Raw genomic sequence first — 22,831 nt, 5'->3', positions numbered from 1 at the left:
TCCATTGGGGAAAATGTGGCAGACACAGAAAGGACTGAAGAATTGCATAACATCTTCTTTCATCTTGCCGGCCAGAGATTACCACCATTACCATTGATGTGGGTTTATGTATGTGTGTCATTTTACATAGTTGATGTTGTTGAGAAGTAGTGAAGAACAGAGTTCTTGGACCCAGACAGCCTGGATTTAAATCTCAGATTGACCACTCACTAGCTGTTCAACATTGGACAAGTTACTTAACCTCTCTGTGCTGCATTTTATCTTTAGAAGGAGATGATATTATCACCTGCCTTGCAGTACTTTTATGAGAATTAAGACAGGTTATTTGTATGAAGTGCTTAGAACTGTGCCTCATTGAAAACTTTATTCTTCATCTGATTGTAAATTTTACTATTGTTATTCCTCTAGCGACTTTTCTGTTTTGTTCTGATTAATATTATATCCTCTATGTAGGTGATTCTGACTAGGATTACAAACCATAGGTCATCACAGATGCCAGGGAGTTGCTGAACTTGATTACCCATTTTTCAGCAATTTATAGATAAACTCTTGCAAGAAACACAGGTTGAGAGAAGCAGAACTCCTCTCTGGATGCGGACATCTGAGCAGAAGGGACTCGGGGCCCTCAGCTTCCTCCTCTGACTTGACCTCATTTGTCCCTCCTCTTCCTCCAGAGGCTCCAGGTGCTATGAGTACGTGGCAGGATCTTTTTTAAATTCCCCTAAAAAGCAAAGAAATCCTGTCACAGAGGTCAGCCCACGAGCAGAGAATTAGCAGCACTTCCAGGCCTGGCCCTCTGTCCACATGTGGGCGAACCAGCCTCTGCCTCAGGGTCCCCTGTTTGGTGGACAGAGAGACAGACAAGCAGAGCACGCCAGGACCAGGCAGGGGCAGAGGCCAGCAGAGGAGGCCTCCTGGAGTAAGGGTCCTTGATTGAGATGGTGTTTTTTTGTTTTGTTTTGTTTTTTGCCTAACAGCTTTATTGAGATCTAGTTCACATATCATGGTTGGGTGCAGTGGCTCACGCCTGTAATCTCAGCACTTTGGGTGGCCGAGGTGGACAGACCCCTTGAGTCCAGGAGTTCGAAACCATGCTGGGTAACGTGGCGTAAAACCCATCTCTACAAAATAATTAGCCAGGCATGGTGACCAACGCCAGCAGTCCCAGCTACTCAGGAGGCTGAGGTGGGAGGATCAGCTGAACCTGGGAGGTTGAGGCTGCAGTGAGTTGTGATTGTACCACTGGACTCCAGCCTGGACGACAGAGTGAGACCTTGACTCAATAAATAAATAAATAAATATAAATAAAGAAATAAAAATAAAGTAAGTGTGTGATTCAGTGGTTTTTAGTAGGTTCACAGACATGCAACCATCACCCCAATTTTAGGACATTTTCATCCTTTATAAAGAAACTCGCAGCCTTTGGCTATCACTCCCTTATCCTCCCGAAACCCAGCCCTAGACAACCAGCAATCTCCTTTCTGCCTCTACAGATCTCCTGCTCTGGACATCTGGTGTGAATGGAATCACACCGTGTGTGGTCCTTTGTGTCTGGTTTCTTTCACTTACTATGTTCTCAAGTTTCCTCCGCATCGTGGTGCATATCATACTTCACTCCTCTGTACGGCCCAAGGTTACGCTGTTGTAAGGATGGGCCACGTTTTGTTTATCCATTCAACCCTTGATGGGCGTTTGGTTTGTTTCCACTTTTTGGCTATTACGAACTGTGCCGCGATGAGCGTTCATGTTCATATTTTTGGTTGATCATACATTTGCAGTTCTTTGGGTGTACACATAGAAAGTGGTAAAGAACAGAGTCCTTGGAACCAGACAGCCTGGACTGAAACCTCAGATTGGCCACCGGAGCGGAATGGCTGGGTCACACGGCAACTCTATGTTTAACCTTTTGAGGAGCTGTCAGACCATTCTCCAATGCAGTGTGCCCTCTGTCACCACCAGAGCAGCAGGGCTTCAGTTTCTCTACATGCTTGCCAGCACCTGTTATTGTCTTTTTGGTGGGATTTTGAGGCATGAACAGGAGCAAGACTGGCACACAAAGGTGAAAAGCCACGGCAGGAGAAGGACAGCGTGCAGGGAGCCACACAGCATGTGCCTGTGGGGTTCCTTAGCAGCCTGCCGTTCCTAGAGAGGGGGTGGAGGCAGAAAGTCACTGATCCCTCCAGCCCCCAAACCCATCATCGTAACCATGGGCACCCAGAATGTGCCACACGGTTAGAGACCGTGACATGAGGAACATCGAATCCTACAGCTGCCCTTGAGGTCAGCACGATGATCCCATTTTCACCTAAGGAAACCAAGGCAAAGGGTGAAGAATTTGCCCAAGGTAAAAGAGGTAGTAGGTGACAGAGCGGGGATTCAGGCCCTTGATGGTGACACAGCACTGTCCACTAAGCTGTCCCTAAGGTGGAGATGCCTGCTGGACTCCCCACAGAAAGGAGACATCAAGATCTGAAACTTGGGGGCCTCCTGCAGAGGCAGAAAACTTGTCCTAGGCTGCTGGGCTGGGAATGCGGAGCCCCGGGAGTGACACCAATGGAAACGGGGTTGCTCTTTGGGGTGACAGAGATGTTCTAAAGTCCACCACAGTGATGGCTGCATATATCTGAAAATACACTAGAAACCACTGAACTGTATAGACTTTCAACCAGTGGGCACTATGGCATGGGAATTACATCTCAACAGCCCTGCTGATGAAAACGCTGGACCCCTGCTCCCATCTTCTCAGCACCCTCGTTTTGCAGACGAGGAAGCCGAGGCCTGGGCTGGATGTGGAAGAGCAGGGAAGGTTCTTCCGGGGTGGAGATAGCTGAGTCCTGGTCTCGCTCCTCAGATCCCAGGGCTACAAGAGCCATTTGAGACCTGAACCCCAAAGAATGCAAGGTTAACACCCCATCCCCAATCAGGGCCCCGCCTCAGAGACTGCAGCTGCCAAAAGCACTGATTTCCAGCAAGATCCACCAAGAAAAGTGGAAATGGGAAAGCTCTCAAGAGCCCGACTGCTACTGTAAAATTGTAGGTGATTTAGAGAGAAGATGAAACGAGGTTTGCCCATGTCTGTTTCCTTTTAAACGGTCACGCAGGCCCCCAGAGAGTTACAGTGGTTCACGGCCACGTGCATCTACAACTTTTCATGGTCCCCCAGCACACGGTTTTATAGATTTTGAAACACGCCTGAATTCTCTCTGGTGGGTAATTTACACAGAATAACTCTACGCATCCAAGCACACATGTTTTGCTCCAGAGCAGGTGATAAGATGCATTTTCTGTCTTCAGTGCCATTATTCACCCTAAACAAGACATTACCAAGAACTGTTCATTTCCTTTCAAACACCAGACGTAGCACGAGTCTCCTGGATATTCCTTCAGCAAATATTCAGTATCTGCTATGGATCAGGGATGCGCCCGGAGCCCCACACAGCACCGCCCTCCAGACCCGTGTGTGCATGTGTGTGGTATGAGTGTGTTGTATGTAGTATGTGTTTGTATGTGTGCGGAGTGTTTGGAGTGTATGTGGGTGGTGTATGTGTGTATATGAGTGTGAAGTGTGGGGTATGTGTTGTGTTTGTAATGTGTATAATGTGTGTTATATGTAGTGCATGTGTATGTTGTGTGTGTGTAGAATGCATGTGTTTGTATGGTGTTGTGTGTAATGTGTGTTGTGGGACAGTAACAGGGGATGATCATTGCAAAGTGAAGGGTATGTGGGGAAGCCTTAGGAGCCCTGGGGAGGCCCAACCCCAAGCCCAGGTCAGGAAAGTCTTCCTGGAGGAGGTGACCTCTCTGCTGCACTGGGCCCTGCACGAGGCACTGTGTATTCTCAGGAGAGCCCTGCCAGGCAGGCAGTGTCATCCTTATTTTACAGATGAGGCCGGGTAAGCACACGGTAGCTGCGTAACTGGCCCTGCGTGACTCAGCAAGCAGGGTGCAGAGCAGGGGCCTACGTGAGATCTATTTCTGTTTTAACAACCCTAAAGGATAGGTGGGAAGAGAAAACCCAATGTCACCCCTTAGTCCAGCACCTGCCATGGCTGTTTTCACGATCTTTCTCTCGATTTTACACAGATGCAATTGTGGTGGGGCTTCTCTGTGTCCAATGGGTCTCATTTCACTAGAATGCAAGACGTTTTAACGCCAGGATGTTCGTATTCACTCGCACGCTTGGCCCTTGGTTTCGTCAGCGCGGAGCTCTGCCTCGTCCTTCCTGTGTCCCCAGTACCTCGCTCTGTCCCTGGAAGGAATACACGCTCTAGGGTCATTTGTTGAACACATCCATTCATTTGTCCACTCATTGGATACTTATTGAGCACCTACTGGGAGTGCCAGGCGTGGTTCTAGGCCCGGGGTTCACCACAGTGAACAAAACAGGCAAAACAGTTGCTGAACTTGAGGGCCTTCTCTTCCAGTGGGAGACAGGCAATAACACCAGGAATGAGCAAGTGGAAGAGGCTGCGAGGTGGCAATGCACTCATGGAGAGAAACGGGCAGGGGCTGGAGGTTTGCACCGGTGACCTGGGTGGCGTCCCTGGGCAGGAGACAGGTGAGCAAAGACCTGGTTGAAGGGTGGTCTCAAGAGCCCTGAGGCCACATGGGCACAGAACCTCATCATAATCATGGGCACCCAGAATGTGCCACAGGTCAGAGAATGCGGCATCCAGACCCGAGGTGGCCACAGGCCTGGGGATGCTCTGGGATACTTGAGGAGCTCGTAGAGATGGAATAAAGTGAGCGAGCGCTCCAGGAGAAGCTGACGTCCGTGTCCTGCGTGGCCCAGAGCAGGCGGGCCTGGCGAACTAAGAGGAAAACAGATATAGTGGAAGACCTACCCTGTCCTAAACACCCACCTGGTGGTAAGTGGGCTTGACTAGAGTCTGTCTTAAAATTGCATTTTAATAACAAGAGGTGTCACGTGGGCCGCCTGTTGGTGACCTCTGGCGCAGGTGGAGTCAAGGCCAGCGTTTGCGGCTGAGCCGCCTGGCCCAGGCTGGTTACCTGAGAGGCGCTGCAGGTGCTGCCTTTGCAGCAGGTTCCTTCTTGTTGCACAGGGAGCTGAAGAGCTGCCTGGAGGTCCCGCAGTAGAGGTCATTGAGTTCATCTCCCTGAGGACAGAAAGGGTTTCAGGTGAGCAGGGAGGAGGCGCCTTCTCTGAACATAAAATCAGCTGAAAAAGACACACGGGCTTTGTGTGGACAGGGCTGGGCCCTGCAACTCCCTTTCCCCACTGTAAATTTCCTTGCTAGGTGTGACACCTTTCTGAGCACAGATGAGAATTTCAATTCATCTCAAGACCTCTGTCATCCGGTGAGAGAGAAAGTGCTAGGTCCTCAGTAGATAGAGGTGCGTTTTCAGAATTTGTCTCAGGAAAGGGCTCAGCCCTATTTGGGGGACACCAATCAGAGGGTCAGAGGTGCCTTCTTTGATTGCAAACATCATCTCGAGGGGTCTTCATGTTACCTGCTGGAGGAGGATCAATGCTGTTCAATTTAATCTGAGGTCTGAAAACCCCAATGAGCCAAGAGGAAACACCAGGTACCTCTGATGTCAATGTATAAGCACCTGGCTAGGTACGGAATGAAGATGAGGGAGAAACGAGGAAAAATGGAAACTTCATTTTTTAGCATGGCAGATTCTAGGTGATACTTTTAAAATGGATATTGACTACTAATTTATTTTTATACAGCAAACTCTTAAAATTACTATGTTTTAAATAAGGCAGTGATATATTTTATTTGTTTAAAGACGAGGCTGCTGTGTTGGAGTGACCTTTCCTTGTAACACACCAGGTTTTTGCATGACGACAATTTACAAACAATCCCCCAAATAAGGAGAAGGCCGCAGGGCCTCAGCATGAATGAAGAATTCAGCAAGACAAGCTGTTCTCTGCTAAGCTTGGACAAATGGCATTTTGGGAGAAAACCAGGAGCAGGAATGACAGCTGTTCTCAGGCACCCTCTGCTTAACTCTGGTACCAAGAGATCTGACATTCATGATGAGGACCAGAGGCCTTGCAGCTCCCCTGGAACCATCAGAGACGCCACCATGCGTGGGTATATCTGCTAGTTCTATGCCAGACCAGAGATTTTCCAGTTGATTATTTTTATCTACAGGCACTTGATTGAAAACAAAGGTTACGTGGAAACCCAATAAGTACGATGGGCCAGAGTAGACCTACCTGTGGACCAACTCAGCCTTCTGTATGTTTTTATAAATAAAGTTTTATTGGCATGCAGACACGGCCCTTTGTGAACATATTGTCTATGGCTGCTTTCCTGCTACAAGCATAGAGTTGAATGACTGCGATGGAGGCCACGTGGCCCACAAAGCCTATGACAGTTGCTATCTATCCCTTTCCAGAAAAAGTTTGCTGACCCCTGCTTTGGAGGAAGCTAGGGTGGGGGCCATGCCCCAGCGCACAGGGAGGGGCACTAAGTGTGAACACTTACCGCAAGTGTGAACACTTGCCATGTACCAGGCGCTGAGTACCAACCTCTCTGTGGTTTAGCTCATTCATCCTCACTGAGCCCTGAGGAGAAGGGCCTGTGACAGCCCCATTTTTCAGATGAAGAAACTGAGGCAGTGAGTGTTCCAGCAATTTGTGCAAGGCCACAGAGCCACCGAGTGGTAGAGCTGCCATTCCAACCTGGGCACTTGGACTCTGGAGCCCACACCCTGGTCACCAGGAAGGCAGCTCTCTCAGCCAGTCCCGGTGGGAGCATGGGACACACGTGGCTGGTCCTGGAGTCTCGTGGATGGCAGAGCCCCTGATGCATGCTTCCTCCGGTGCTCAGCCGGAGAGGCAGCAACGTGAAAGATAGGCAGGCCTTGCTGTGACGTCCTAGGGACGCGGGCCAGCCCTGACCATGGAGCGTGCAGGGCAGGAACATGCAGGGTGAACGGGGGTGGACCCAGGACCACTGGGAGAAGCCTACCTCTGCCCTGGGGCAGCCACTGGTGGGGCCAGAGACTGGCGCCTGGACCCCCACTGACAAGGACACTTCAATGCTGCCCTGCAGGCCTGTGCCCCTCAGAGAAGACTGGAATCCTGGTGGCCGGTGGCCGCCCTGTGGGTCTCAATGTAAAAGTGCTGCTGATGGGCTCTGCGATTGAGAATACTTTCAAAAAGGATGAAAAAGAAAAATGAGTGGAAAGTGTCCTCCATGGTGAAGGCATAGTGAGTAGACAATGGATAGGGTTCCCTCCTCTGCCTCAGACTCTGGGGACAGAGCCGGGCCCCCCAGATGAGGATTTTGGTGTCAATGGTTTGTTTGGGTATTGATCTCAGGAAGCACCAGTAGGGCTGGAAGTGAGTCAGCTGGCTGGGCAGGGCCATTACAGGAATGGGGCTCAGTCCCATGGGAACTCTCTGGGGTATGGAACCCACCTGGGATTTGTCTCACCATGGCGGTGGTGGTGGAAAGCTGTCTGCGTGGGTTTACATAGATGCTCAGTTTGCTAGCTCTGCCCTGCACATGTGGCCCCATGGCCATCTGAGAAAAGCCCACGGCAGAGATGCTGGGCTGTGGGAGGGTGCCGCGGCATGTAGGAGTGGTGAGTGCTGCAGGAACCAACCTGCAGCATAGTCAGTGTGGGCCCTGGAGCAGCAGCAGCCATGGCCCATGGGCATGTCAGAAATGCAGACTCCCAGGCCCCACCCTGAACCTGCTGGAGCAGAACCTGCCTACCAGCAAGACCCTCGGTGACCGTGTGCATGCTGGAATTTGAGAAGTGCCAGGCCTGTCACCGTGATTCCTTTCCCTTTTCTAAACACTACAAAGTAACCGCTGCCTCAGCACTCCCTGAATGTCCACTGACCCTCCCAGGTAGGAGGGAACAAGCTGCCTCTTATCTTTAATCTTTAACCGGTCCAGGATGGGCTGAAAAGGAAGAGACTGGATGTCCAACTGCTTTGGCTCTTCAATCAAGGCGACTGGTGTGAGCGCTGAAGGAGGTGGAGTAACACCAAGGGCTTTCCCAGCGTACTTTCTGCTGCGTAAACATCCCAGACCCCGGCTTGGGAGAGGTGAGCTCCAGTCCACTCCTGCATCCCACACAGCGCCTTGTGGGCTGCACACCTCTGCAGGAAAGCTCGGTAGGCCTCAGAGCTCTGGAAGGCCTGTAGCTCGCAGACATAGCCCTACTTGTCCTCGTCCACCTGAGACACATACCTCTGGAGGAAGGAGCACAGAGATTCTGAGGCGCTCCAGATTTGGGGTTGGGATGGGGATGGAGGCTGGGCATCCTCTTGTCCAACCTCCTTGGGGCTCTTTAGGATGATCCCAAGAAGCTACTACTCAGCTTCTGCTTGCACACCTCCAGGGACAGGGACCTCACTACCTCCAAGCAAGTTCATTCCTTGTTTGAATGGCACTGTTTTCCTTCCCATCAACTGGCATCTGCCTTGCTGTGGCCACTACCATTCTCCAGGTTTGGTCTGATGACTGCAGAGAAGGGCAGCATTATCAGCTCCTGCCAGGGGGAACCTTAGACTTCTCTTCAATGATCCTTCATGCAAACATCAGCACTTTTCCCTGCACAGGGTCCTGGGCTGGGCACTAGTGACAGACGAATCAGATCCAACCCCAGGCCTTGGGATGCTGAGTAGAGCCCCTCCCTCTCTCTTTGCCCCTGCCATCCGCTGGCAGGCAGCGAAGGCTCTGCACTGCTCTTGGCCACATGCTCAGGGGCCTGCTCTGACCTAGTGCCAGGAATTGTCCGGCACTGCCAGCAGCTGGAGCCACTGATCCAAAGACACCCTCCCCCTCGCTTTGCGTGAATACAGCTGACATTTAATCTCCATCTGACTGGCTACTGGATAGTTCCTAGTTGGTTGGAAACGTGGGTAGGAAGGAGAGGGATGTTACTAACTGAGCCCCCCATTAGGATTTTGTCAATTGTTAAACAAGAGTTTTCTATGACTAAAGCAAGATGAAATTGTAGAGGTTTAAAGAAGTTCACGTCAGGGTCTTTGTATTTGACTCAAGGAAATGACACTCTGGAGGCAGGGTGCTGTTCTGGAGAAAGTATGGGCTTTGAGGTCAGATATTCTTAGGGGTGTGGGAGGGCTTATTGTAGGAGGTGGCACTGAGGCAGGCATGGCTTGAACAGAAAATGACACGTTTGTTCAGTGTGGCTGGAAGGTACAGCTGGGGGTGGCAGAAGTGATATTGGAATGTAACAGTATTTCATGCGAAATGGGCTTTGACCTTATGCCATAATTTGGCATTCCTCCCCTGGCCCCCAGAACATGCCTCTGTAGGAGGTTAACAGGTGCTCTGTGAAAAAGAGGCTCCTTGGTAAATTAGTTTGAGAAACACCGCACACCAGCGCTCACACGTAGAGACTCTCATGCCCCTTTACATGCTTGGCTCGGTCTCTTCCTCCGCAGCCTCACTCCAGGACAGCAGGGGCCCCATTGGCCATGCTTGTGGCTGTATCCCCAGCACCTAGCATGGTGCCAGGCATAACAAGTGCTACACAAATATATTGTAGATTCGCCAAAAATGTCCTGCTGAGGGAGAAATCTACGATCTTGATTTCCTCCAGAATTTCCTAGACTTATTTGACAGCCGGCCCATGATTCCTGGATGGGCCATTCTGCCTGACCCAGTTTAGGAGATGCTGCCAAAAGCAAGGGGACCCATTAATTGCTCTAAATGGGTGAGTGAGTGGCATCTCATGTCTGCACTCTAGAGGGTTCCCTCTGGCTGTGGTGTAAGAAATGGATTAGGAGGGAACGGCCCCTGGCGGTGGCTGCGGGCTGCCCAGGCCCCATCTCACGGGGGGACTCGCTTTGTATTCACCACATAGAACAGGACTTACCCCTTTTTATCCTGAGACAGCTGGGCCCACTGAACAGCCAGCATCTTCATGATTTCTGTGAAAGGCAGATCGGGGTGTGTGGCCCTCAGCTGACTTCTCTGCTCATTCAGGAATATCATGTACCTGTGCCACAGAAGGGACAAACCTGGCTCTGAGAACCGGTGGGGAAGGGAGCCGGCCAGGGGCAGCTCATTCCACTTTCCGGTTTTCACAACGAGTCACAGGTTTGCCCATCTTGTTCAGTCTAACCAGAGAACTGAAGGCTAAGAGGGGCACATCCTCCAGTGGCTTGTTAACCCAGAGTCTCGTAAAAGGCCTAGGAATGAGAAGAGGGGCTCCCCACAGGGCACGAGGTGTATGAAGGCTGGGTGGCTGTGTCTGGCAGGGGACACGTTCAAATAGCCATGCTGCATTATGTGGACAAACCACGTAACCCATCTGAGCCTCCGTTTCCCCCTTTGTATAATGAACATAATGCCACCTGCTCACAGGTGTGGCCTAATACTCCAGGTGCAGGCCCCTCCCCCTCCTGCTCAAGGACTTCTTTTGAAGGGGAGGGAGAAAGGCTGTGGCCAAACCAGTTTCATCCATGTGAGCCACAGGAATACTGAAGGAAGCCCCTCAGCGTTAGAGCCGTGTGAACCCTGAGGATAAAGTGTACAAGCTTCTAGATGGGGCAAGGTGACCCTCAGAGCTCTGGTCAGCAGCTGGCATGGGACCTTTCTTCTATGGCGCAAGATTCATGGGAAAGGGACAAGGTCCCAGGTGCTGAGAAGGGTGGCTTGAGCCCCCTGAAGGTTAACCAGCTTACCCAAGGCCACAGAGCGCCCATGTCTTCAAGCCTGGGATGGAAAGCAGACCCACCAAGCCCACACCTACCCCTTTTCCTGTCTGGAACCCAAACCTGGTTCTTCTGTCCTCTCTCCTCCAGGACCAGGACCTCATTACAGATTAAAGAACTAAGCAGCCCACCCCACACTCCCAGTGGTGTCAGGCCCCCTAGCTAACCAAGCACCCTAAAAGAACAGGTAAAGGCTGAGATGGGATCGTACCAACCCCGCCACGTGGCCCAGGCCACATGGTGAGCCCTGCAGATTACTTCAACGTTGGGTCAGAGTAATCTCCCTGCATCTTACCCTGTCGTAGGAACACGGAACAGCAAGGTCCCTCGGGGGGTTTCTCTTCTTGCCTTTAGGCCAGCCCCCTTTCCTTTTCTGAAAAAGAAATACCACACGGGAAAACCTCAAGACCATCAATAACGACTGATCATATTCAGATCACAGCATACAATCATGCCACCACAGGGCCCTGGGCTTCACACAGATGGCCTATGACCTCCCAGAAGTTCCATGGTAGGAGTGAGCCTCCCCCTGAAGTTGAGGGAACTGAAGTATGGAAAGATGCAGTGATTCCGCCCAGCACCGCCCAGCAGTGTGGGAGCCAGGACCTTCCCTCCCATCCAAGCTGCGTGATGGTCACTGGGCACAATCAAGTAAGTCACCCAAAGTTTTAGTTACTAGGTCCATGGGGGATGGGATGAAGCCTTGGCACCAGGACCGGTGGTGCAGAGGGTTGACAGCTGAGATGGCAACTCCGCTGGGGTTCTCGTCTCAGCCCTGCAACTGACCTGCTGTGTGGTATTTGGCAAGTTATGCATAGCTCTTTGACTCAGTTTCCCCATTTGTAAAATGAGGATCATAGTCCCTATCTCGTGGGTTTCAGTGAGGATTGGAAATGTTGATATTCATGAAGTTTTGAGAGCAGAGCCAGAAGCCCAGCAAGTGCTCAGTGAGTGCAGAGGCTGGCGTGACTGTGTACAGAACCCTCTCCCACAGACGCCAGCTCTCAGGACAGAAATCCAAGTTGTGGGCTCACCCTTCCATCCATTTCATATCTGGGTTCATCAATGGTGACTGAGCTCCCACTATTATCAGGAGCCTATGCCAGGCTCAGAAGCTAGAGGGCTGGATAAGGCACAGGCTCTGCCCTCAAGTGGCTCACAGTGCCATGGGGAGGCTGATTTTATAGAAATAATTGTAACAGTCCAGCACAGGGGAGTGGGGTTATAGGATGATAGCCTGAATGCCCCTGTCCTCACGGTTCAGTTTCAAATTTTCCTGAACCAAACACACATGACAAAAATGGTAGAGAATAATCAAGATGTGACCTTAAGAACCTCACCTTCCAGTTTTCCAATCTCCCTCACAAACATGCCCAAGTCAGCCTTTCCAAGGCCAGGAGATACAAAGCAAGTCGGTGGCCCAGCAGGCTGGCTGGGTGGCACTGCCACAGGCAAGCCAGTTGTTGTACAGACCAAAGGACAGAGGCGGTCAGACCACACACATGTTGGTGCAGCGGCTGGCACTGGGGACTTCAGGAGCAGGAGGGCCAAGCTGAGGCCAGGCAGAGGCAAACAGCCTGATAGCAACCATATGTGTTAACGAGATAATGAGGAAGCCAGGCGCCAGGCACACAGTAGGTGCTCAATGAATGACATTCTCACTGGCTCACTCCTATGCACAGACTATGCTGATCCTTGGAGTTTGAGGACCATCCTTTCAGCACCCCGGAGAGCTCCCAAGGCCCTGGGTCGGCTCTAATTCAAATACACACAAAACCCTGAATCTGAGTCTCACCTTTTCTGGTTGAAGCAAATATCATCAACGTTATGTCACAAGAAGACACTCAGAAGGATGATGTGGTTTGATCACTGAGCAGCAGTGCCAAGCAGAAAGCCCAGAGCACACCCACAGCTCTTGTTAGAGCCGGTGCCTCCTGACAGAGGCCCCACAACTCTCTGGGGTCAGGGGAAGGTGGGCCAGGTATCCTCTGCCCTGGAGCACAGTGGCCATCTTCTACTCTTTTCTTGGTCAGCCTCCCTGCTCTGGCGCAGAGAAGGTTTTTTGTTGTTGTTGTTGTTAATTGGAGGGAATATTATATTTACCGTAATTCTCTATATGGTAGTATTATAAGTAAAAAATCAAAATAAATGTGTTCATCATTTTGTGCCCATCTGAGGCTCTGTGCTTCAGCTCCATTAAAAAAAAAAGAAAACCTTCTTGAGTGTTTTCTTAATTTGCCCAGAAACCATAGTTACTGAGACAAAGGGGAAGGCTGCAGGATGTTTTCCTCTGAAGCTTTTTGTTCTTGTTGAACTCCTCATGCAGGATTTACACCAAATTGCCTTGCCCTAAATAGAGTCACGTAGACAGCGCACTCATCATTAGTACAGGGTGTTACTACGTGGAGAACATTGCCCACACACAGTAATGTGTCAGCTACAGAGGAAACAGAGGAAGAGAGCATGGCCCACCAAGGGAAGGCTGAAAAACCTATTATTTTGAGACAGGGTCTCCCTCTGTCACCCAGGTTGGAGTGCAGTGGTGTGATCTTGGCTCACTGCAGCCTCAACCTCCCAGGTTCAAGTTTTAGAAAGGCCAGTAGCAGAGCTGCAAATTAATTGATTGGCAAGATTCCAAGGGGAAAAATCCATTCCAACAGGAGTTTTCACCAGCACAACCCTTTTATTAGGTTGGTGCAAAAGTATTTTCAGTTTTAGCCATTACTTTCAATGGCAATTTCAATTACTTTGAAAACTGCAATTACTTTTGCACCAACGTAATACATTGAGATTGCAACAGATGGTGAATTTTGGACATTTAGTTTTTTTTAAAAAGAATTTTGTTTTACGAAGAGAAGCTCCTTTGGGGGTCAGCAGGAGCAAAAGCAAACAGGGGCTTGAATGACAGCTCTGGGCTCACCCCTAGCTCTGACATGGTGTGACCCTGAGAGCTCCTTTACCCCCAAGCTGCTAACTGGGAAGCAACAAGGAGCAGTGGTGGGGTCGGGGAGCTAATGTTTGCAAAGGGCTTGGCACATGGCCGAACTCAGCACATGCCTTCCCTCTCTCTCTTTACCAGTAAGGGAAAAAACTCAAGTACAAACCGATCAACCAGATTCTGCAGCTTGCTGAGCAAGCCTCAAAGGGAAAAGCATTTTAGTTTATGCAATGTATCATTTGGGAACCAGACCCAAGCTCGGAAGATGATTACAGTTACTGTCAGGAAATGGCCCATGGCCTCTGTGGGTTTACAAACAACTGCCCTAGCAAAGTCTAGATCCTGGCTATTCCCAAGAACTTTGTCAAGGGCACTCAGCACTCTCCCCATCTGAACAGTGGGAATGTTGATTACATTGTTCTAGACACCATGAGAAAAGTTAAACTGTTAAAGGCTGGGTTCTCACCTTTTGATACTGTAGTCCTGACTTTGAAATTCTAGTTCATTTATTTCTGAAGTAAACTAACCCTGTGCTGTGGACTGAATTGCATCCTCCACTCAGCCCCCACACATTCAGATGTTTAAGCCCTAACCCCCAATATGGCTGTATCTGTAGATAGGGTCTTTAGAAGGTATTTAAGGATAAATGAGATCATGAGGGTGGAGCCCTAATCCAATAGGACTGTCACCTTCTAAGAAGAAAGCAGAGAAATCTTTCTCTCCACCATGTGAGGACATAGCGAGGCAGCCAGCAAGCCAGGGATAGTTCGTTACCAGAACTGGACCCTGCTGGCACCTTGATCTAGGACTTCCAGCCTCTAGAACTGGGGGAAATTTCTGTTGTTTCAGCCACTCCGTCTATGGCATATTGTTATGGCAGGCCAAGGTGACGAATACAGTGCAAAAGAAGTACTTTATTATTATTATTATTGTTATTTTTGAGACAGGGTCTCACTCAGTCACCCAGGCTGGAGTGCAGTGGTGTGAACTTGGCTCACTGCAGCCTCAATCTTCCAGGTTCAAGCGATCCTCTCACCTCAGCCTCCCAAGTAGCTAGGACTACAGGCACACACCATGACGCCCAGTTAATTTTTATTTTTTGTAGAGACGGTGGTCTTACTATGTTGCCCACGCTGTACTTTATTATTTTTGAACACGGGACTGTTAGACACCAATGGCCCTCCCTTGCCTCATTTCTCATCTCAACTTGAACCAGGTTTGCAGACAGGATTCCAAGGGGAGAGTTTACAAGGCTGAGCGACAGTGGAGGGTGGTGGTCAAAGTGTGGATTCTGGAGCAGACTGCCCGGATTGGAGTCCCAACCTCTCCATGTACTGGCTCTGAAGTCTTGAGCACATCACCTACCCTCTCTGAGCCTCAGTGACCTCCTCTGTACAATAGGGTAACCAGCTCTTCTCTCACTAGCTGTGAGGATTAAACGACTAGGTAAGTGCTGGATAGGTGCTGGACTGCAGGAAGCCCTCCGGTTGGCTGCTATTGTACGGATGGCAGTCCACTTACATTTGAATCCTGCTCCCCCGCTGCACACATTACCTTCTGAGAGTCATCAGACCTTTTGGAGTCCACCTCTGCCTGTAAAGTGGACTGGCTTCTTGTGATCTACATGAACTGCTGGGACATATTCATAAAGAAATGGCATCTTTTTTCACTCTTACCTCGTTCCTGCTGGCTAGAATGCAGACACGAAGGCTGGTGCTCAGCAGCCACTTTGGACCATGAGGCAGCATGCGAAGGATAGCAGAGCAGTCAGATGGAAGGTGTCTGGTTCCCTGCTAATGGAGATGCCTTCATACCAGCCCTGATCCTGTCTCACTTGCCCTTAGGACAGGAGTTGCCTGTGACCGCGCGTCCCCGTCCGCCCGGAGCAGCGGCCCTGACCTGCGCGCCGCGGGCCTGGACTTTGCAGAGGCAGGCTCCGGAGCCCGGGGCGTGGCTCCTTCAGCACAGGCGGCGCCGGGCGGAGATGGCGGGGCACGGGCCAGGCACCTGCACCGGGGAACGCGCCGGGAGGCGGCCAGGCCGGGGGGGCAGGCCCGAGCCACGTGCCAGCGCACCGGAACCGCTCGGCTGTTGTCAGCCGCGCTGCGCCGGGCGCCCAGATCCCATCCCAGGGACGCCCTCACTGGGGAGCAGGGCACGCGCGACAGAGGAGGTGGGGGACGCAAGTCCAGCCACCGAACCGCAGCCTCCCGCAGTTCCGCTGCATGTCGTTCGCCCGCCGGGACAGCTGTCCGGCGCCCGCCGCTGCGCCCGGGTCGCGTGGGCGGGACCACCAGAGGGGCCGGGCCGCTCCGCGCGTTGCTGTGCTCCGGACTCCGGCCTTTCCGAGCAGCCCGGGGCTGGGCGGGGACAGTGGGCGGGGGAGAGGGGTGGGCGGGGCCGAGGCTCCGGGCAGCCCCGCCCCCGCCTGCCGCTCACCCAGTGGAGGCCTGCGCCCGCCCCGCAGTTACGTAAGTGCCCTCAGTGGCCAGAGGTGGGGGGCCTCGCTCGCGAAGGGTCGTCTTCTACATTATTATATGACTTTTAACATTTTCGAATCACACAGGAATACATGATACATCACCAGTGTAGCGAAATTAGAAAATTCAGAGCAGCTGCTCTCCGGGAGTCCTTTCCAGAGTCAACCACCTGTTAACCCTTTGGTGCACCTCCTTTACATAAAAACATTCAAAGTATAATTTAAACGATAGTTTTAAACATTAGAAATGGCCACGAGCTCCATCCCTCCTTCCAATGGCAACGCTTCCATGTTTGCACATCCCCTTCCCACCCGAGACAGGTGAGCTGGTGACAATCACAGGGTTCGCCATATCTGTGGGTGGTAATTTTTGCGGTTGCCTAGAGACGGCACAGTCCCTGGAGCCTAGCGGTCTGGGCTCATCAGCCACCTCTGCTGGGTGCCGGTGGGCTGGTGACTTCACATACCTGGGGCTCAATCTCGTGGTCCGTACACTGGAGATAATAATAGTGCCTATTAGCTAAGAAGGTTGTGGGATTAATGATTTAATATTCCTAAAGTACATAGGAAGCACTCAATAAACGAGTAAGCTATTATTACTGAGGGCTTCTTCATGTATCAAGAACAATGTGCACTAATTATGTAATAACATAATTTGGTCTTTGCATACTCCCCCAAAGCTCGCCACTCCATTCCCTTGTTTCCTTTTTTACTCAACCAATATCTTCAGCAAATAAGTCACTATAGCGCTGTATTCTTTAGTTCCTTGCTCTATAGAATGGAGATAGTATGAATAGCACCTGCCTCCCAGGGATGCCTGAGGATTAAATGAGATGCTGAGGGGTGAATGTACATAACTGGCTGAGCAGGACGCCTGACATGCGTTATCTGGCCAATAAGAACACAAAAAAGCTGGGTGTGGTGGCTCACACCTGTAATCCCAACACTTTGGGAAGCTAAGGTGGGAAGAATCACTTGAGGTCAGGGGTTTGAGAACAGCATGGCTAGCATAGCAAGACCCCATCTCTTTTTAAAAAATTAGCTCAGAATGGTGGTGCATGCCTGTAGTACCAGCTTGGGAGGCTTAGGCAGGAGGATCACTTGAGTCCAGGAGTTTTGATGTTACAGTGAGCTATCTCGGCACCATTGCACTCCAGCCTGGTCAACAGAGCACGACTTTGTCTCTAAAACAAACAAAAATACACACATACAAACAGCTGTTCTTATCACTGCATGTTGTCCAGTGCTTAAGGAGAAGCCAATCCGGGCTGGGATTCTAGAGCCGGCAAGGAGCCCAGAGGTCTAGGGCACTAGCCCATCCTTCCTTAGTGGCAGAAACTGAGTCTGGAAGAGGGTAAGTGGCTTGTCCAAGTGAAATTCTGTCTACCTCCCCATGAAGCTTCTCAATTTAGTCCAATTAAGTGTAGCAAATACATGCTGAGACCGCCTCCTTAACAAAGTGAGTACAAAATAGTCTCTGAAACTAAATCTTTGAGAATAGTTTAAAAATTACAAAATGTAAGAACATTCAAGTGAGACTCGAGTGTTCCTACATCAGAGGATACAAAGAGCCACTGGAATCTAATCAGTAATTGGTGTTGATATAGGAATGGACAAATAGATGAGTCAAACAGAAGATGGAACTAGAATTAAATCTAGAACATGTGCTAGACTAGTTTACGACAAATCTAATGGTTAAATTCAGTAAAAAAGAATAAATTAATAATAAATATTGCTGGTAACGGGCTAGCCATTGGAAAGGGGAAAATGGACTCTGGCATTATGCCAAATACAAAAGTAAATTTTAGACAGATTAAATACTTAAATGTAATAAAGTAAACAATAAAAAATTTGCAAGAAGGCTTTGGGATCCCAATGGTATGCTCATCTGAAAATGTCAACTGAAACACCTTCACAGACTAAAATATGGAGATGGGAAACTATTTACAACAAACTCAAAATGCCCTGCTAAACTCACAGGAGAATCCAGAGAAATGCCCAAAGATTATGCCTCTTCACAAAAAACAGGAATAATCAGCCCAAACTAGAGTGGCTATGAAAATGGAAATCCAGGCCCCAATGGGTACAGGCACCTGCAACAGGAACTTCAAGCTGGAGGGATTCATACGGATATAGAGGACAGATGAACACAGCCATCTCTGCTGCCTCTGGGTGGAAACATGTACACAAAGCTAGAGAGTCTTTCCTGAACTTTTGTAGCCAGAGGACTGCTCTGTCGTGTGACTGAGGTTCAAATTTATACTGCCCCTAATGTCAAGAAACATCACCCGGGCAACGAAATTAAAATATTATAGTTACAGATTGGTAGTGCCTCCTGGAGCCTAGAAGAAGCAAATGCCAGTGCTGTCTGGAGAAAAGCATCCTCAGTCTAGTCCCATCACCACATATCCTGCCTGAGCTCATAATAAAAATTACCCAACACACGGCGAAATGGCTCAATGTAAGCAAGAAGCAGCTGAATAATAAACAATGTATTTAGGTCCTCAAGCATTTCTGATAGTAGACATCTAATTCAGAGAGCAAAAATAATCATGTATAAACATAAACTGTGTTAAGAAATTAAAAATGGAATTTAAAAGTTCAAAGAGCAAAAGTCAAACAAAATGACCCGGAAGAATTGAGAAAGAACCAACTAAAGCATCTTGTAGTAAGAAATATAGTGAATGTGCTAGGCATGGTGGCACATACCTATTGTCCCAGCTACTCAAGAGGCTGAAGCAGGAGGATCTGTTGAGTGCCGGGGTTTGAGACCAGCCTAGGCAACATAGTGAGACTCTGTCTTTAAAACAAACAAACAAAGAAACAAACAAACAAAGAAATTTAATGATTGAAATTGAAACCTCAATTGTTGTGTTATATAGCAGATCAGATTGCCTGAAGACAGAATAAGCCAGAGGACAGATCTGAAGATATTACCGAGAATGCAATGCAAAGTGACAAGAAAAGAGAAATAAGAGAGGTTTGAAGACATGCATGATAAAATATGAAAGTCTAACACTTGCCTAATTGGAGTTCCAGAAGACTAAAATAGAGAAAGCTGAGGAGAGGCAATATTTGAAGAGATAGTGCCTAAGAATTTTTCACAACTGTTCAAAGATGACAAATTTCAAATCTAGGAAAAACGAAGTATATCAAGCAGTGTAAAGAAAAATAATCTACATATAATAATTTCAGATGAAATAAGAAGACATCAAGATAAATCAAGATGCAACAAAAACAGAAAAGATACTCTACAAAAAATAAAAGTGACCGTATTTCATCAATTCCAAGATATGTATTTTCCCACAATTTAACACGTTTGAAATTGGGACTAATCTTATCATTGATGGAGTCTTACAATTATAATTGGCAGTTTTTTATCTCTTACTGTCAATAAAATAATGATGGATTGCATATTCAGTGGTATCTTATGAACATTTATGAATGAAATGTGGTAAACTGGCCACAGAGTTGTCAACAGCAACAATAGAAAGCCAAAGACATAGAACTAATATATTCAAGATGCTGAGAGAAAATGAAGAGTTGAGATTTCTGTTCCTATCCATGAGGAAAATTGGACAAACTATATGCAAAAAATTTTGTTTTCAGATCTTGGGCAACAAACAGAGCACAACAGTAATCTCTGAGAGAAGAAATGCAAATAAGGTGAACTCTATGATGACTTGGCACTTTGTCAACTGTAATGTAAGAAGAGGAACTGAAGCAGAGCATGGTGACTTTGCTGAGCTGAGGAGAGGTAGAAGGCAGAGAAACCCAAGGAAGCTGGGATTTGAGAGGTAGAATATCAGACAAGAGGGAGCCATGCACATAAAGAGCTCTAAAACGCCACATTTGGGTCCTCTTGAGTCTCTGAATGAATACTAAGCCAAACATATAACAGATGAAACTTTTTGCATTTAGGCAAAGACAAGCTACAAGGGAGCTGAAAATTGACTAACTACTGGATCTCTCACAAGGCTGGGAGACATTTGAGTTCTAATCAGTCAGAGTGGAAAGATCTTGCTAAATTCCCTTGGCATTCAGTAGAGAGCCCAGAATGGTCATGACTTAGGTAAAGGGCTGACCAAGTGCTCATGTAAAAGCAACCCTAAGACCAAACCTAACAAAAATTAAAACTAAACTGCAAAGGCATCAAACTGATCTGCAAGTAAATTAAATGTTGGACAGAAGAAAGCCAAACATTCTTTAAAGGAAGAAAACAAAACTAAACACTCAACGGCATAATGTTCACAATGTCCAGCTTCCATTAAAGATTATTAGACAAATGAAACATGAAAATGTGAACTTTTTCAAATTATTCTTTGATGATAGTAGTTGGAAATTGGAGTTTAGTAACAATGAGATGTCTACAAAACTCCTCAAATATTAGGAAATTAAGTAAAACACCTTTAAATAATACATGGGTCAAGGAAGAAATCAAAAGAATGATTGAAAAAAGGGGAAATATAATAACATATTTAAGAGTGAATGATAATACGTATTGTGCATATAAAATTAGTGGTCTAATTTGTATGTTAAAAATGTAGATGTTAAAACTAAAAAACTGGACCAAAAACACAGATGCCGATTACCCCTCCCTCCACCCCTTGGCAACCACTATTCTACATTGTACCTATAAATTTGATTACTCTAGGAGCTTCATATCAATGGAATCATAAAATATTTGTCCTTTGTAACTGGCTTATCTCACTTAGCATAATATAATTCATGTCATAGCATGTGTTTTACACATGCTTCTGTGAGAAAAGAAATTGAGGTTAAAGCATTTATTGTTTGAGATGACAATTGAGATTTTGATTCCTTTAGGATTTGATTTATTTTACCATAAAATAATATGGTAAAATGTCTATTTTAGTCACTGAAAATATGGAAGTAAACTGTATAACTTTAAGACAGTAGAGGAAAAAGAAATAAGGAAAAAAGCTCAAGCAATCCAAAAGAAGAAGGAAAAGAGGGAGAAAAGGAAGTAAAGAAAAAGCAAGACAAATAAAAATACAAAATCAGATGGGTAGAAGGAACTCCAAAAATATCTGTAATTATAGTCTGTTTAGGTGAATACGCTGGCTGGTTATCAGGTTGGCTAAAAATGCAGAACCCAACTGTATGCTGTTTTCAAGAGATGTACCCAGAGCACGAGGAGGACACAGAAATGTTGAAAGTCAAAGGATGGAAAAAGGCACGTGAAGTAAAAGATAGCTGCTGCAGCTCTGAATATTGAACAAAATCATTAGATTAAGATTAGATTAAGTAATAATTAGGATAAAGAGGTTTACTACCAAATAATAAATTCACCATGAAGAGATCCCAATTCTAGAACTTCATGCATGATGCTGTATATGAAACAAAAATACATAAAATGAAGATTGAGAGAACTAAAAGGATAAATTGACAATTTCACTCTTTAGTGGAGCATTTTAACATATCACTTAAATTTTTTTTATTGTGGTAAAATATACGTAACATAAAATCTGCCATTTTAACCATTTTTAAGTGGTTATAAGTTCAGTGGTATTAAGTACATTCGCATTGTTGTGCAACCATCACCACTACCTATCTCCTTAACTTTTAAGTCATCCAAAACAGAAACTCTGTACCCATTAAACACTGACTCCCATTACCTCTCTCTCCACCCCTTGGCAACCAGCATGTTACATTGTATCTATGAATTTGACTACTCTAGGAACCTCATATCAATGGAATCATAAAATATTGGTTCTTTGTAACTGGCTTATGCCACTTAGCATAATGTAATCCATGTTATAATATGTGTCAAAATGTCTTCCTTTTTAAGGGTGAATAACATTCCATTGCAGGTACCTGCCACATCATATTCTCATTCATCTGTTGATGGACGACACCTGGGTTGCCTCCACCTTTCCGCTGTTGTGGCTAATGCTGCTATGAACATGAGTGTGCAAATATTTGTTCAAGTCTCTGCTTTCACTACTTTTAGGTATACCCAGAAGTGGCACAGCAGAATTGTATGTTAATTTTATGCTTTTTTTTTTTTTTTTTTTTGCGAAATAGCCATGTTGCTTTCCACAGTGACTTAACTATTTTAGATCCCTATCAACAGCATATGAGGGTTCTAATTCCTCCATATGCTCACCAACACTTCCTACTTTTTGTTTTTGTTTTTTTAAACAATAATAGTCATTGCATCAGTCTGTTTGGGCTGCTATAAAAAAGCACTATAGACTGGGTAATTTATAAGCCGTAGAAATTTATTGCTCACAGTTCTGGAGGCTGGAAAGTACAAGATTAACTCACCAGCAAATTCTGTGTCTGGTGAGGGTTTGTTCTTTGCTTCATAGATGGTGCCTTCTGGCATTGTCTTTACATGCCAGAATGAGAAAACAGACTCCTTTGGGCCTCTTATTAATCTCATTCATGAAGGTCCCACCTCAATACTTAATCACCTCCCACAGGGCCTCACCTCTTAATACTATCACATTGGGGATTCTGTTTCAACATATAAATTTTGGGAGGACACATTCAAATCATAGCAGCCATCCTAATGGGTGTGATGTTTCAACATACGTCTTTCATTGACAGGCCAAAGAGTAAAAAAGAAAAATTGGTAAGAATAGAAAAGATTTGAACAACACAATTAATATTCTTGATTTAATGAGGACATGCAGAATCCTCTGCCTCTCACATAAAGAACGCATAATTTTAAGAATGATACCATTTACAATAGTGAAATAAAATTTAC

At 47.3% G+C, this 22,831-nt stretch overlaps 1 long non-coding RNA gene across 1 annotated transcript in view, besides 2 other annotated features; it reads right to left on the bottom strand.

Moving 5' to 3' along the window:
- Positions 1-4,040: 4,040 nt before the first annotated feature.
- The window catches only part of JAKMIP1-DT (JAKMIP1 divergent transcript), a 33,204-nt gene continuing 14,413 nt past the window's right edge, over positions 4,041-22,831 (bottom strand). The window contains exons 2-4 of the long non-coding RNA NR_037863.1: positions 10,974-11,051; positions 9,838-9,960; positions 4,041-5,117 (exon numbers count right to left, since the gene is read on the bottom strand). This is a non-coding gene — a long non-coding RNA (JAKMIP1 divergent transcript). The remainder of the gene's footprint in view (positions 5,118-9,837; positions 9,961-10,973; positions 11,052-22,831) is intronic.
- Positions 16,004-16,053: a silencer, noted in NCBI's record as "silent region_15228". NCBI's record gives its function as "represses an Ori minimal core promoter by ATAC-STARR-seq in GM12878 lymphoblastoid cells {active_cell/tissue: GM12878}" and the evidence as "EXISTENCE:reporter gene assay evidence [ECO:0000049][PMID:35858748]".
- Positions 16,194-16,323: an enhancer, noted in NCBI's record as "active region_21259". NCBI's record gives its function as "activates an Ori minimal core promoter by ATAC-STARR-seq in GM12878 lymphoblastoid cells {active_cell/tissue: GM12878}" and the evidence as "EXISTENCE:reporter gene assay evidence [ECO:0000049][PMID:35858748]".

This window comes from Homo sapiens, chromosome 4 (genome assembly GCF_000001405.40).
Source record: "Homo sapiens chromosome 4, GRCh38.p14 Primary Assembly".
NCBI lineage: Eukaryota > Metazoa > Chordata > Mammalia > Primates > Hominidae > Homo > Homo sapiens.
This window is presented reverse-complemented; position numbering and strand designations above follow the sequence as displayed.